The sequence below is a fragment of the Homo sapiens genome, chromosome 18, assembly GCF_000001405.40.
Source record: "Homo sapiens chromosome 18, GRCh38.p14 Primary Assembly".
Lineage (NCBI taxonomy): Eukaryota > Metazoa > Chordata > Mammalia > Primates > Hominidae > Homo > Homo sapiens.
In genome coordinates this window covers 47,808,957-47,825,000 of record NC_000018.10, presented here as the reverse complement: position 1 = coordinate 47,825,000, position 16,044 = coordinate 47,808,957, and the positions used below count along the sequence as shown (strand labels likewise).

Sequence of the window (16,044 nt, the reverse complement as noted above, 5' to 3'; positions counted from 1 at the left end):
ATTTTTTCCAGTCTTTATTTGTATGTCTGTGTATATTCAATGGAAAATGTTTGAAGCTTCACTCACAGCACATTCCATTAGAGAAAGCTACTAAAATCATAAGGAAAATCTAAAATGCAGTAAGCCAGTCAGCAAGCCATAATGGGCATATGAAAACAAAGTTTTTTGCCATGATTTGTGGACCACAGAAGATCTGTGTTATTAGTCTATTTAAGTTTGGTGTTTGAAATTAAAAATGTTCGACATACTTTTTATGTTTTTTTTAAATATACTGTCTATATTTAAAATTGAGTATACTGTACTTTAGTGTGTTTGGAAGCAGATATCCCCAAATAAAAGTATACAGTAGAACCAAAGAATTTTATTGATCAGCTAGAATTTAGTTTTCAGGTGTAATAACTGTCAACCTAAATAACAGAGGCTTTCTAAAAGAAAATGATGTTTATTTGGGAATAGGGCATTGTGAAGGCAATATGCATGCCATAGTAAACTGTGTGTATTCAGGAAGGTAAAGGAAGACAGGTTTTTAAAGGACAGATAAAGATTATATAATTGTCTTGAAATAATTATTCTTGGCTACAAGGATTAATAACAAGGATGCTGCCAGTTCGGGTTTGGACAATCGGCTTCTAGGCAGATGTCCCAAAAGTATTTTCTGTGTAAGGTTGCGAATAGTGTTTGTGCAAGCTGGCGTGGTTTCTTCTGGGTCTTTGAGGTAGTGCGTAAAATCCCTCTCTTCATGGACTTCCCTGGCTCCATTTGTCAGGGCTTTTGGAAACATGACTCTTGATTCTGACAGCTTTCACCTTTCCCTCTCTTGATGAAGATGTTTTTCCGAAAGTATCTATGATGAATCATCTTGTAGTTAGGCTTTGATTGTCCCTTGGTGACAGAATAGACCTTTCCCGGGTTATTGGTCTGGTCCTGCATCCTGCATTGGCAGGAGTGATTGGCAACTAAAAGTCAGTGTTAAAACCCTTTTAGCCACCTTTGAGGGCAGGGAGGCTTTAAGGGAGTGGCACTTAGGCTAAGTCCACCTGGAGTCTATTATTAAGTCCAATTTTTTTTCCTTAGTCCTTTGTTGTCCCCTCAAAGTGCTGGGCTAGCATTATTCTGTTAGGAATTGTACTTCTTTCTGCAGAAAATTTGGCAAATAACAGATACAAAGTTTAAAAAGGAAATACACAAAATTAATAGTAATGTGACAATCCCAGTTTGCATAATGGTTTTGAGCCCTGAACCTAGGCTTACAGGCAACCAATTGAATAAATCAAATTGTAATACAATTCTTGCTCTGATGTCTTAGGAAAAATGTCTACAGCCTGAAATCATCAACTTTTTGTCCTGGTTTGCAGTTTGAATGTCTCTAGCTATGGCATTGGTTGGTATGGTGAACTTTTGTGTGACCCATACATCAGCATGAGACTTGCTCCTTTAAAAATTAATCACATCTTAGCTTATAGGCCTCAGAGCATGGGAGTAGTTTTTTTTCTTAGAGAGTCATAGCCAAATATTGAAGGAAATTAGGAGGATTCAGGAGCAAATCCAGTCTGCAGGTGGATAACAGGAGTTTCAAAACGGTACAGAGCTGTGATCTAATAACAGGTACATATAGCTTTCTTCAGAAACTTAAAGTTACCCTGATTTTTACCAAAGATGTTCAGAATAAAACAGATTTGTAAACTTTATCAGATTTTGTCTGCAAGAATAGTAGTATGGTCACAGTAATCTCAGATTTAAAAACCTCCTTGAGGCTAAGAAGCTAAGTCAAGGTAGACTTTAGATTTTACCTATAGTTTTAAGGTTCCTGGGCCTGCCAGGAAATGATAATTTTTAATTCAGTGTAATGCTGAGAACCATTGAAGCCAGGCATTCTACACATTCTCAAATATGACATTTTAATCAAAGCCTTGGTAATACAACCAGTGTTTCCAATTGTATCCTGTTATAACGAGAGCCGATTTTTATTGAACTTAGGCAAATCATATTGCCTTAAGAGTACTCACAAATAGGCTGGGCACAGTGGCTCATGCCTGTAATCCCAGCTCTTTGGGAGGCCAAGACAGGTGGAACACCTGAGGTCAGGAGTTTGAAACCAGCCTGGCCAACATAGTGAAACCTCCCCCCGGCCACCGTCTCTACTAAAAAATACAAAAATTAGCTGGGTGTGGTGGTGCATGCCTGTAGTCCCAGCTACTTGGGAGGCTGAGACAGAATTGCTTGAACCCTGGAGGCAGAAGTTGCACTGAAACAAGATCGTGCCACTGCATTCCAGCTGGGGCAACAGAGCGAGACTCCGTCTCAAAAACAAAAACAAATGAATACTCAAAATAGTTTCCAAATTGGAGGGATCAAGAAGAAAGGAAAAGCAAATATTTCTACCTTTGTTCACAAAAGTATTCCAAATTGCTGTAAACTATAGATAGCATGAGAGAATTTCTTTAAATATGGAAAACAAAACATTTAAGTAAAAAAACAATAATGCTTCAAATAAAAGTCACAGACACATCTTCAGTTACTTAGTCTCATGTAACTTTTTTTGTTGTGGTTGATCTTAATTAGTAGTTACATGGACTCATCAGTTTCTTGAAGTTCTGAAAAAATATTTAGTCCATTGGTATTAAAGTGATTAGTAACCTGTATTTAAAAGTGTGTTAGCATCTTTTCCATGAATCTGATTGCAAATGCTTTTAGAGAAAAAGCAATAACTGGGAATTACAAAAACTTAGAATAACCATGATTAAAAATCTGATGAGAGTTTACCATAACCAGAAATAGACAAAGAGTTTTGGTTATTTTTGTGGCAAACAGCATAATCAGAATTATGACTGATGACATATTTCTAACGGCATCGTACAATTTTGGAACACTCATATCAATAACATACTCATAAATGTAACTGTGTCTAGTATTACATCATTAGACAATGCTTTTCATACAATTTAATACATCAAAGAAGCCTAATTAGCTAACATCTCTACCAGATGGCATACACATGCTCTGAGGCTTTCCAGAGGCCCAAGTGGAAAACTCAAAGGTAATTTTAAGTCAAAAACACTTAATTTAGAACTTGAGCCTAGAGAAGCCTGTCAAAGATGTCAAAAGTTCGAAACAGGATCACAGGTCACTATAAAATATTTAACAAGAATGATAATCAAAAGACTTAAGAAGCAATGCAGAAAGTTACATACATTTAAAAACCATCTTTTCAAAGCTTCATTTTTCCCAAGCAAAAAAAAAACTTAAACACAAGAATTTATCTTGATAGAACATAAAATTTTTCTTAGGCCAGTTGCCAAAATGGTAAAGAAAAATCTCTTGCAGTGTGACTGCCTTTACTTATGGGAAGCCTATTTGGATATACTGAAAGTTGAATCTGATGAAAAGGTACTTGAATTTAATCAGACACAGGAAGAGTATTTCCAAGGTTATGAGTGTACGCCTTATAGAGGAATGTAAATAAGAAAGCTAGTATGTTGAACAGAATACATGGCTCTTGGAAAAATTACGAGAAATTTCCTGCTTGCGTGGAACAATTCAAACATGAGAAGAGCCAAGAATTCAGAATCAAGTTATACTGGAGGAAAACATTGCTTTTCTAGGCCTTCTACAGAACATTTCAGTATCAAGTTATAACAGCAAGAGTTAGAACCAGAGGAAAAAAGTTACAGGAGCTAATGAAAAAGTTAAGAGTTATCACCCCTGCCAAACAAAAAGATGTACCTTCTTAAGGGGAGAAAGAGCTAAAGGCAATGATGTGTGACCTACAAATAAGGTGCAGCAAGATACAGCAAAGGTTGAACTTGTGAGATATAAATCAGGATCTTCAAGAAGAAAACTCTACCTCAAGAAATGAAATGACCATCTTAAATGAAAAAAGACAGCCTTTCTAACCTGAATCTAGGGGAAATTAAACGGATCTCAGAAGGAAATATGGCAGAAATTTAAACTGTGGTTTAGAAGATGGCTGATTTTAGAATTAAAAATTAAAACCTCTTTCAATTTTATTAAGACCAGATCCTTAAAAAGAACCTTGTTCTAACATTGGGGACCAAATTTTGTGTGTGTGTGTGTGTGTGTGTGTGTGTGTGTGTGTGTGTGTGTATAGTGCATGTATAGCATTTACACTATCGTGTATATACAAATATATAGCATATGTATAGAATATACTGTATTATTGTACATATACATATGTACAAGTATATATGTAAGCTCAATGTCTTATGATTTCATTCTGACCTATTGCCAACTTCATTACACACAACTCCTTTCATAAATGTATCCTTCATGAACATTTCATGATCTGCACAGACCTTCAGTGACATGCTTAAACTTTCTGCTTTGTTTTATACTTCCCCTTAAACAACTGGTCATCCTGCTTTAGGATAAAAAGTTACTATGCAAGACTCATACAGAATTATTCTGTTAATTTTGTAACCTTCCTTACCAAAGGTACATTCTCACACCCATTAACTTCCTTCATATTTCTCTCCTCCTCCTACTTAGTGGTTCCTTTCTGTCTTGTTTCCATATTTGAAACAACCTCTAATAAACTCTGAATTTAAACAACTTTTTTCCCAATAAAAAGCAATTTTTATGCCTTATAACTTTTCTCATCAAAACATCTTTTTTTGGGTACACTTTGTATATGGAATTGTGTATTTTCAAATTTTAACTTATTAACCTTAATTTTTAGTGAAAACCTAGGAAGCAAAATTTTGAAGTGTTATATCAGCATTTTATAAATGAGAACCATATTATAATTTTTAGAAACATGTTTCCTTATAACTTTGTATATTAATAGGCCCAAATATATTTAGTCTTTCTATAATTTAGGAAGCCAAGAACAAACTAATATTTTCAGCAGTTTATTGTTTTTTTTTGGAAATGATCCAGACATTTACTGAAGATTAATTTATAAGATTTCAAATTACATGAAAAGTTCATTAACATCCTATTTTTAAAAACATTCTTTTGGTTTATTTTTTAGAGACAATGTCTTGCTGTGTTACCCAGGCTGGAGTTCAGTGGCTGTTCACAGGCACAATTGTAGCACACTGCAGCCTCAAACTCCAACTCACACAATCCTCCTGCCTCCGTTTCCTGAGTAGCTGGAACTATAGATGCATACCTGCATACCACCATGTCTCACCCTTGCTTATCCCGTTTATAATCCATCCAATTCTTTTTTTTTTTTTTTTTTTTGAGACGGAGTCTCGCTCTGTCACCCAGGCTGGAGTGCAGTGGCGTGATCTCGGCTCACTGCAAGCTCCGCCTTCTGGGTTCATGCCATTCTCCTGCCTCAGCCTCCCGAGTAGCTGGGACTACAGGCGCCCGCCACCGCGCCCAGCCAATTTTTTGTATTTTTAGTAGAGACGAGGTTTCACCGTGATCTCGATCTCCTGACCTCGTGATCTGCCCGCCTTGGCCTCCCAAAGTGCTAGGATTACAGGCGTGAGCCACTGCACCTGGCCCCCAATTCATTTTTAACAATTATTCCTAGATTACTTATAAAAACTGAGATATTAGACATAGCTAGTCATTTCAAGTTATTTTCCTGTTAACCATTTTTATTACCTGTGAGTATCATGTGTTCAATTAAGAACCATAAAAATGAAATATGTAGGTATTTTGCCAGTAACTCAGAGGACACAGCTGAAGTCAATAATACAAAATTAGTTCAACTTACAGTTATACAAAGATCATTCTGTTTTTAAGTTGAGTTTATAGTTTTATGACCTTAAAAAGTCTAACAGAGACAAATATAAAACTGAGTAGTAAATTCAGGCAAAAATTTTAAAGACACTTATTTTTGATTTACCAATTATTTTAAAACCAGCTTATCAGATGTTTAAGTTATATTAACTAAAAGGCACTTGTGTTAATTACTATATATTTTGTATTAGCACTCATTTATTTGATGAATAGAATTCCTTAAGGGATTTGTGGCCAACTGCCAGATTTTACCACGTAGACACAACATACAACATATATATACATATGTGTAAACACACCTAAACATACACATACACAAACATAGCTTTCATTTTAGAATTTTAGTCATACGATAGTAATACAGGCTTGCTGGTTTATAAAAGACAGTTATTGGATTCAAATTATATTTCTGAGAAAGTGGGACCTGCTCAGCTGGGTAAACATGCAGAATAGGTAATCTTATGAAAGCTGTGAACCAAAAGTTTTGGTAAATAGCAGTTTGGATTTTTAAAAAACCTCTTACCCCACCTCCCCAACCCCTTTTTTCCCTTTTTTCAGTTTCAAATGAGTTTAATGTTAATATTTAAATGCTTACATTTTTAGCTAGGACTGGCTGAATTGTATAAGAAAAAACAATCTCCAGGTGGCCTTGAATTTTTAGTAACAAATCTTTTGTTTGCCATTCTGGTTTTTTTGACTAGTCAGTGCAGGCAGGGAAGCATTTTAGCAGTTGTGGATGAGGGGTTTTTGTTTTGTTCTTTTAGCCTTTGCATAGCAGGCAAGCAATTTTTATGCTATACCAGAGATACCTTATATTATTGCCCTGAGCTCAAGATTTTGACCTGTTTGAGAGCCTAATTTTTATACGTATTTATCTAGTTCTTTTAGGCTATTAATCCTTTAATTAACTGTTCCATCACCCTAAGCAGTTATTAGGCAAACCTAAATTTACATTAAAAGGGATACTTCTTAATTCTAGGTGTTGGTTGCCAGGGAACTATTATAATTTATAAAGCCATTAATTTAAGGCCCTTTAAGACCTTTTTTTTTCTTTTTGTTCTTGGCTGGAATGCCGTAAGGAGTGAGTTTCATCTCAACACTGGCAGAAACAGCAGATTTAAAGTAGGCAGAAAAAAAATTAGAGAGCTTAGAAGACTCTACATATCAACTCTATAGCTGCAGTCTCTTGGTACTAAGAATAAAAAAGCTTGGGGAGTTTAGACAAAGCATAGACAATCTCTATGATGGTCATTGATCCAAAAACATGCATGAGGAAAAGCCACATAGCTGACCTGAAGTCCCAGAAAAGCAGGCATGCCTTAATGTTTGAGAATTTCCATTTTGTTTCTTCTCAATCTCTTAAGAGCAAAGAAAATTCTGTAAATCCTGACAGATAAGTCAGGTGTTTGGACCAGTGTTTTAACTGGTGGCGATTGCCCTAGTGGCTTTAAAAGAGCCATCCTGTGCCCAAAATTTAGAATGTTTATTTTTGCTCTTGGGAGATGTTCAGAAACAGGGGAAAAGAGCCAAATCATTTACAGATGCATGTAACCATATCGAAACGAAACCAAAATCAGTGTTCCCAAAAGTGTTAACCCAGTCATGCAGATTAAAAAATAATATAAACACAGAAGAACCCAAAGTAAATTTACCAGAAAAGGCATGCCTCAGAATCCAGAGTACTCAGCCAGGCGCAGTGGCCCATGCCTGTAATCCCAGCACTTTGGGAGGCCAAGGCAGGAGGATCGCTTGAGCCCATGAGTTCAAGACCAGCCTCAGCAGTATAGTGAGACACTGTCTCTAAAAAAAAATTGTTTTTAAATCCAGAGTACTCAAACCAGAGGGACACTTGTCTTTATATCAAAAAGGACTTGCCAGGAAAGACAAAAAGTCTTTTGTCATCCCAGGAGGGATGTAAAGTCCTTTATTAAAGTGGTCTTAGAACCAAGACAAATCCAAAGTCAAGTCAAAAAGCCTCTGCCAAAAGTGGGAGGCTCTGCCTGAGAAAAGACTCACTGGGGCAGAACAGACAAGCTATGTAAGCGGAGAGCCCAAAGGGCTCCTGTGAGTACTGCATACTGATTCTGAGATCACCACTTCTCTCTGAAATGTGTCCTACTTCAGGTTCTACTGCTGAACACCATTTATGTCAACACAGAGAGAGGCTCTCTAAAAGAAAACTCTATTTGGGAATACAGCATTGCTGTAGAAATACGCATGTCATGGGCCGTGCGCGGTGGCTTATGCCTGTAATCCCAGCACTTTGGGAGGCTGAGGTGGGCCGATCACGAGGTCAGGAGTTTGAGACCAGCCTGGCCAACATAGTGAAACCCCCTCTCTACTAAAAATACAAAAAATTAGATGGGTGTATTGGTGGGTGCCTATGATCCCGCTACTTGGGAGGCTGAGGCAGAAGATTGGCTTGAACCTGAGAAGTGGAGGTTGCAGTGAGCCTAGATGTGCCACTGCACTCCAGCCTGGGCGACAGTGCAAAACTACGTCTCCAAAAAAAAAAAAAAAAGACCCATGTCATGGTAAACTACGTGTGTATTCAGGGAAGTAAAGGAAGACAAAGATTTTAAAGAAAAATGAGGGTTGTATAATTGTTTTGAAATAATTGTCGTTGGTTACAAAGATCAATAGCAAGGGTGGTGCCACTCTGAAGTTGGACAGGCAGTGGCTAGGCAAAAGTATTTTGTGGGTAACCTTTGTGAAAGGTTGCAGTTTTTGTAACACAAGCTGCTTTATTTTCCCAAAAGCTTTCACAGTACATAGAAAATATATTGGACGTGTATTAAATGTGCCAAATTAGTCAGCAATATTACATTAAAATATGTGTTATTACTTGTTAATGTTCTTAATAAGTTGTTCAGGCAGTTATACCAGACTATCTTTTCTCATTTTCCAATTTATAAGTGTATTATCCAAAAATGTTAGTTTTAGGGTGACCACTGTATATTTTGGTATTTTTTAAAGCTACCCAATTGTGTATAATTTATAAAAATCTTTTTTTCATAAGACCTAAAACTTCTGAACAATACATAGGTGCAAATAAATAAATTCCTTTTTATCTCAAACTCACTTCCACTGCCCTCCCTGAAGAAAGCCTTTTGTTATTGTTGTCTTGACTAAATGTGGCATGGGAGCTAACATTTTCAAGGGAAGCTGATCTTATCTCCGGGCTCTAGAAGCCAAGACATGAGGTATGTGTTTACCGTCTCTTAGGTGACTCTCCAGAACTTTCATTCTCAACCTCCTCCCTCACTGCCAGTTCCTCCTCAGCTTCTTAGCCAAGTGGTAGAGGAAAAATGGTATTTTATGTCAGGACTAAGCCATGTGCTCTGAGCCCTGGGTAAGTCTGCAAGGCTTCTCTAGAACTCATACATAGGTCAATTATTCCTCCTCTGAAAACTTAAACTCTGGCACCACTAGCTTTTTCCTACAGCATACATGGGCTCAGTAAATCCTCTGTTAAGACAACAGGAAAATTAAGACAATGTCCTTGCAAGCCCCATAACTACTTTCTATCCCTGCTATTCACAGCCAAGTGTGTCGAGACCAGTTCACACAAACCTTGTTGATTTTCGGTTTCACCCCCTCCTTACTAAATCACCCCTCCATTTGCTGCAGTTGCCCTTGCGTGCTGTACTCAGACTTGGAGGAAGTGATGTCTTATTCAAGGCCAGTTTTTGTACTAGTGGTTAAATAAATGGTTTCCAAATTGGAGTCAGAAGGAGAGCTTCTAAAATGTAGGTTCCCTGGCCTCAATTGTGAGATTCTGCTTTAGCAGGTCTGGAATTGGAGCACTGGGATCTGCATTTTCAGAAAACCCAAAATGATTATCAGCCAGGACTTAAACCTCTGCTTTAGACCACATTCCCTGTGGGCTTTCAGATTTTCTATCAATGTTCTTCCCTCTTCCCAGCTCCCACACATTAAAACTCAGATCATGCAGAAAAGAAGTTACAGTTCCTTCATTTCACATCAATTTCTCATGCATCCCATCTGGTTTTGGGAAGGTGTGGGACGAGGTGGATGGCCTTAAACTTGCCAATCAAAGATAACGTTCTCTTTCGATTCAAATAGCCTATCTCAGGCTTAAAACCATCTCTTTGGATAAATGCTCAGCTTTTCAAAGGTTCTTCCTAGCTTCTTCCTCATGATGGCATCTAGTGGGTGAGAACAGTCATCTCCAGGTGACACAGGAAAGAGTTTCTCTAATGTATGTGCTGAGGTCCTTGACGGTCCTGCTGCTGGTGCTCATCCTGCCATCTTTGCTGGATGTCACTGAGTCTACTGGGTAATGTAAGTGGGTCCCTGGCTTTTGTTCACTGCTGTCATGCCCTGCTCCTGACCACAACTCTGTCATTGCCTTTGGTCTCAAGGTCTCTACCTTAATAGCTTCCATGTCCCAACTATGGGACTGTTAATCTGCTGGGCTTTGGAGTGGGTGGGAAGGGATGATGTTGGAACTTTGGGATGTACTGAACATCTTGCTCAAGCTTTGGGAAGCCAACATTTTCTCAGACTGACTAGACACCTCCTTCCACCAATGCTGAGCTAGTGCTCCTGTGCCATACTGGGTAAGCCTCTAAGTCATGAGTAGGACTTTTTTGAGTGGCTTGCAGTCTTCCCCAGGCTATGCCAGGAAAGTAGTTGACTAACCCTGCTGCTCCAAGACTCGCATACCCATCCTGAAGTTTCCGTTTATTTCCCAACAGGGCAATTGCAATCTCAATCAATCTCTCCCTGCCCTGGGAGTCATTCCACTCCTGCCTAATGAAGAGACTCTTCTCACATCGTATTCTCAGTTTCTCTTATCCATGGTTAGGAGTAAAACTCATGTTCAGTTGTCCAAGCTTTGCTTTTAGTATGTGAATGGAGCTCTTAGCATGTAGAACTCCCTTCTCATTCTCAGTAAAGTCTGACTTTGAAGACTACTTATCATCTTCCTAGAGATGCCAAAGAATAATCAAGATAATAAAGGCAGGCTCTGAGATTCACAGCTGAGTAGCAACTGTGCTGTTACTCTAGTACACACCCTCTCCTTTCCTGTGACTGTCAGGCTTCAGGGCTTACCTTTATTGGAAAGACAGCAGGGGGGCATATATGAAGAAAATGGAATCTTTAATATTGTCAAAGTCTTGACCCAATAGAGACATTCTTGCCCCAGACTCTCTTGCTTCAGTGCCTTTGCCTGTTCTGGTCCTAAGTACCTTGAATATCCTTCTCTTGATGCCCTGATATAAAACTCTTTATTCCTCAAAGCCAAGTTCAGGTTATCACCTCCACCACAGACTTTTCTTTCCCTCCCCAAACTTCATTGCCTCTTCTCATCACTCCCTTTGTAATTTGTTTATACTGGTAAGAGAGCATTCATCATAATTAGGCCTATCTATGCCTACCTTTCTTGTTAAATTATGAGCTTTGTTCTGCCTTGGATATCTCTCTGGCTTGGATATCTCTCTGGCCTTTGCTCTGCACTTCCAAATGTATCCATTATTCAAGACCCAGGTTTCCAGCCTGATCAACATAGCAAGATCCCATCTCTCCAAAAAAAAAAAAAAAAAAAAATTGTGGGGCCGGGTACAGTGGCTCATGCCTGTAATCCCAGCACTTTGGGAGGCCGAGGCAGGTGGATCATGAGGTCACGAGTTTGAGACCAGTCTGGCCAACATAGTGAAACCCCATCTGTACTAAAAATGCAGAAAATTAGCCGGGTGTGGTGGTGTGTGCCTGTAATCCCAGCTACTCGGGAGGCTGAGGCAGGAGAATCGCATGAACCCGGGAGGCAGAGGTTGCAGTGAGCCGAGATTGCGCCACTGCACTCCAGCCTGGGTGACATTGCAAGACTCCATCTCAAAAAAAAAAAAAAAAAAAATTAGCTGGGCATGGTGGCAGGCACCTGTAGTCCCAGCTACTTGAGAGGCTGAGGTGGGAGGATTGCTTGAGCCCAGGAAGTCGAGGCTTCATGAGCCATGTTTGTGCTACTGCACTCTAGCCTGGATGACAAAGTGAGATCCTTTTCTAAAAATAAGGACCCAGTTTATTTTATTTAGTTATTTAGTTATTTTTGAGACCAAGTTTCATCACTCAGGCTGGAGTGCAATGGCACAGTCTTGACTCACTGCAACCTCTGCCTCCTGGATTCAAGCAATTCTTCTGCCTCAGCCTCTTGAGTAGCTGGGATTGCAGGTGCCCGCCACCACACCTGGCTAATTTTTGTATTTTTGGTAGAGACAGGGTTTCACTATGTTGGCCAGGCTGGTCTCAAACTCCTGACCTCAGGTGATCCACCTGCCTTGGTCTCCCAAACTGCTGGGATTACAGGTGTGAGTCACCCTGCCTGGCCAGAACCCAGTTTAAATTCCATCCTCTCTGCAGAGTCTTCCTTAACCACCCCTATTGAAAGTTACCCCTGCTTCCTACAAGAAGTGGTACTTGGATGTTCATGAGATACCTGTGCAAGGCTCCTGTGGGGGTCCTGGGGAGACAGTGACATGGACACTCATGAAAGGAACCTTGGAATAGCGAGTGTGTGTGCTATAAAATGTGCTTTAGATTTGATTACCACCACTTAAGTTATGAGCTCTGATATGGTTTGGGTCTCCATCCCCACCCAAATCTCATCTTGAATTGTAATCCCTACATGTTGAGGGAAGGAAGTAATTGTATTATGGGGGTGGTTCTCCCATGCTGTTCTCATGATAGTGAATTCTCACAGGATCTGATGGTTTTATAAATGGTAGTTTTTCCTGTACTTTCACACACTCACACTCTCTTCTGCCACCTTGTGAAGAAGGTGCCTGCTTCCCCTTCTGCCATAATTGTAAGTTTCCTGAGGCCTCCCCAGCTGTATTAGTCTGATCTCACGCGGCTAATAAAGAGATACCGGAGACTGGGTAATTTATAAAAGAGGTTTAATTGACTCACAGTTTTACATGGCTGGGGAGGCCTCACAATTATGGCAGAAGGTGAAGGGGGAGCAAGACACATCTTACATGGCATCAGGCGAGAGAGCTTGTGTAGGGGAACTCCCCTTTATAAAACCATCAGATCTCGTGAGACTTATTCACTATTACAAGAGCAGCACGGGAAAGACCCACCCCCATGATTCAGTTACCTCTCACTGGGTCCCTCACATAATATGGGGAATTATGGGAGCTCCAATTCAAGATGAGATTTGGGTGGGGACACAGCCAAACTATATCACCAGCCATGTGGAACTGTTGAGTCAATTAAACCTCTTTCCTTTATAAATTACCCAGTCTCAGGTATTTCTTTATAGCAGTGTGAGAACAGACTAATACAAGCACCTTGAGGTCAGAGGCTAAAATCACTTTTTCCCAAACATTTCCTTTTTATATATGCTACATCTTTGTGTCTGCTTCAACATTTCCAGCAGTGCTTTATATATGGTAGGCATGCAATAAATGCTTCTTGATCGACTGACAGGTGCTCAGAAGATCTAGGTTGGTTGATTCTCTTGTGATGCCATCTTTTCCTGAGAGCTCATTAATTTTTAAGTTGTTTTCCTTGAAATGCATGGTATGTTTCCTCCACCCTGCTCTTTGCCTTTCATAGGGTTCCATTTTGATCAGCTGCTCTCATTGTCTGTTTTGTGATCAAAGGTTCTGATGAACTTTGGAATATGTGTATGTTTGGAGTGAGGATGGGGTCTGGAGGAGATGCATGGTTGAGGACCAATTCACCCAACCCAGCTTACAGAAGTAAAGCGGCCCCTTAGGAGCACTGAAGCATTGCTGTGGATTTCAGAATTACCTTATTTCTTTTTCTTTTTTTTTTTTTTTTTTTTGAGACGAGGTCTCGCTCTGTCGCCCAGGCTGGAGTGCAGTGGCACAATCTCAGCTCACTGCAAGCTCCGCCTCCTGGGTTCACACCATTCTCCTCCCTCAGCCTCCCCAGCAGCTGGGACTATAGGTGCACGCCGCCACGCCTGGCTAATTTTTGTATTTTTAGTGGAGACAGGGTTTCACCGTGTTAGCCAGGATGGTCTCAATCTCCTGACCTTGTGATCCACCCGCCTCAGCCTCCCAAAGTGCTGGGATTACAGGCGTGAGCCACCGTGCCCAGCCAGCTTCTTTCAAATCAGAGTAGGCCTTCCAGTGTGGCAGGCCATAAGATCTGAAGTTTTCACCCTGTTCCTGGAAGCCAAGTGGACAGCAACTAATTTTTACTTTCTTTATTGCACATTTGGGGCTTGGGGGATAGAGTCAGATGTGTGTCAGTTGAAACTGTAGCTACTGCATTCCACTCCTTGGGGGATCGTAGTGCTCATGCCAACAGAAAACTTCGAGGCTAATAATTACTGTCTTCAGAGTACAAGACAGGCACGGAAGTTGTTTTGGCATAAGAAAACCACGATTTGCATCCCACAGTCTAAGGAAGACGATGCTGAATTCAGAAGATGGTGCAAAAGTGTGACAGTTCAGCTGTGGCGGCTGTTGCTGATGCATGGGACTATTTTATTTACATTTCCTTTCTTCTTTTTTAACAGAGACAGGATCTTGCTGTGTTGCCCAGCCTGGTCTTAAACTCCTGGGCCCAAGTGATCCTCCCACCTCAGCCTCCCAACGTGTTGGGATTACAGGCATGAGCCACCATGCCTGGGCTTTATTTATATTTCCAAGTCAAATGTTAGTTGGTCAATCAGTCTTTTTAAGCACCAATTTTGTGCCTAGCCTTGTGGAAACTGTAGGAAAAAGATACTTTTTATTTGGGAGGACCTTGATTTGCTGTCACAGGTGCCACTAATGCCAATTATAAGGCAGTGTGGAATCAGGTGATTGAAAGCCCAGTCTGTAGCATAAACTGCTGCAGGGTTCCAGTGGGGGCAATTAAGGTGGGCAGGGAGGGTGGATAGCATTTGACTTTGACAGCATAACCTGAGCAGAGGCACAGTGGGGATGGTGAGTGTGCAGTGGGAGGAGGGAGAGAGGTAAGTGGTAGGGAAGAGGTGGGAAGGGGGCAAGGAGAAGGCTCAGGAGGTTTGGGGACAGGGAAATGACTTGGTTGGCGACCTCTTACTTTCTTCTCGTGTGTGCAATTTGGAATTCACTTGGTTCTTAGTATTTCTGGGTCAGATGACTTCTTTGCAGTATGAGAAACCATTTCCCAGGCTGGCTACCTGGGCTGTGGTATCTTCCAGTGCTCCTCTGTGATTGTACTCAGATCAGCTCGTCTAGGCAGGCAGGATGGCAGAAGCCCTCTGACTTCATGTCTGAAAGAGTATGTGTTTCAACTCTGTAATTACAGCATTTAACAGACGATATCAGCCCTCTTTGGGATGGCTTTTGGCAAATGGGCTAGAAGTCTATTGTGCATTTAAATGATACTGCATCTTCTCTTTAAAAGGTTTCTCAGTGAGTCCACCCCACTCTGTATCCAAGTATGTCTCAGGCCATGAGGCAAAAGGAAATGAGTAGTTCTTTTTGGTTGGAGAATTAAAAAGAAATCTCCACCCAAGTAACAGGTACATAGTGGGAAAAAATAACATCTGCCTGAAAGCTTCATCTTCAGGCAAAGAGAGGGTCAGGGGGCGGGAGCTTAGTAATGGGGAAACCTCAGAAGATTTAAAGAGAATTACAGACAGACAAGGCTGAACATTGGCTGTCATCCAACAAAGCTCTTATAAGATGGGAATCACTGCCCGGTTCTTGAGCTCCGACCTGGAGGGAAGAGGAGTCTGGAAGACTTGGCACAGGCCTGAGTGCTTCATTGTCTTTCTGGTTCCAAGTCCTCCTCAGCTCACTAGGAAGGAGGTGGGGTGGGGGCAGGTAGGCCACTCTGCATAAGTGCACACATCTACACTGGCTAGTCTACTTCACAATTCCCCCACAGGTTATCCTTATCTCTACCTGGTTCCAGTTCCAGATTGGAGGGATATAGAATACCATCCCCACCCCTCACCTTGCTTGCTCTGGCCTGGAAAACTGTCATTCCTTTACCACCAGCTGGCATCTGCCATATGCTTCAAGGAACTGAATAAAGAGGAAGGGGAAAGAAGAAACTAGAGAAACTGGAATGCTTCCTATCTGACCCCCAAGTACAGGGACTGCCTCTTTCCGTAACGGCACAGAACGTCTCCATCCCTTTGACCTCCACCTCCCCAGAGATGCCCGAGGAGGACAGCCTTGTTTCTGTGATCTGTTGTTGAGAACTGCTGCTGAGAATTCTTCCTTCAGCACCGCCTTAGGCACCATTGGTTTTTCACTAGGTCCGCTGTAGAAAACAGCCAGGAATTACTTAGTTGACTACCACCTGAGGTGCTGTTTGGTGTTGGTAATAAAGAATAAAGGTGGAAATGAA

The 16,044-nt window shown here is 40.7% G+C and overlaps 1 protein-coding gene across 3 annotated transcripts in view; it reads left to right on the top strand.

Annotated features, from left to right (window-relative positions):
- Nucleotides 1-16,044, top strand: part of SMAD2 (SMAD family member 2) — a 121,916-nt gene extending 105,872 nt beyond the window's left edge. For all 3 annotated transcript variants that reach the window (NM_001135937.3, NM_001003652.4, NM_005901.6), the window contains one exon: nt 1-16,044. This exon is cut by the window's left edge and continues 16,950 nt beyond it. The gene's annotated coding sequence lies outside the window, so the exon portion shown is untranslated.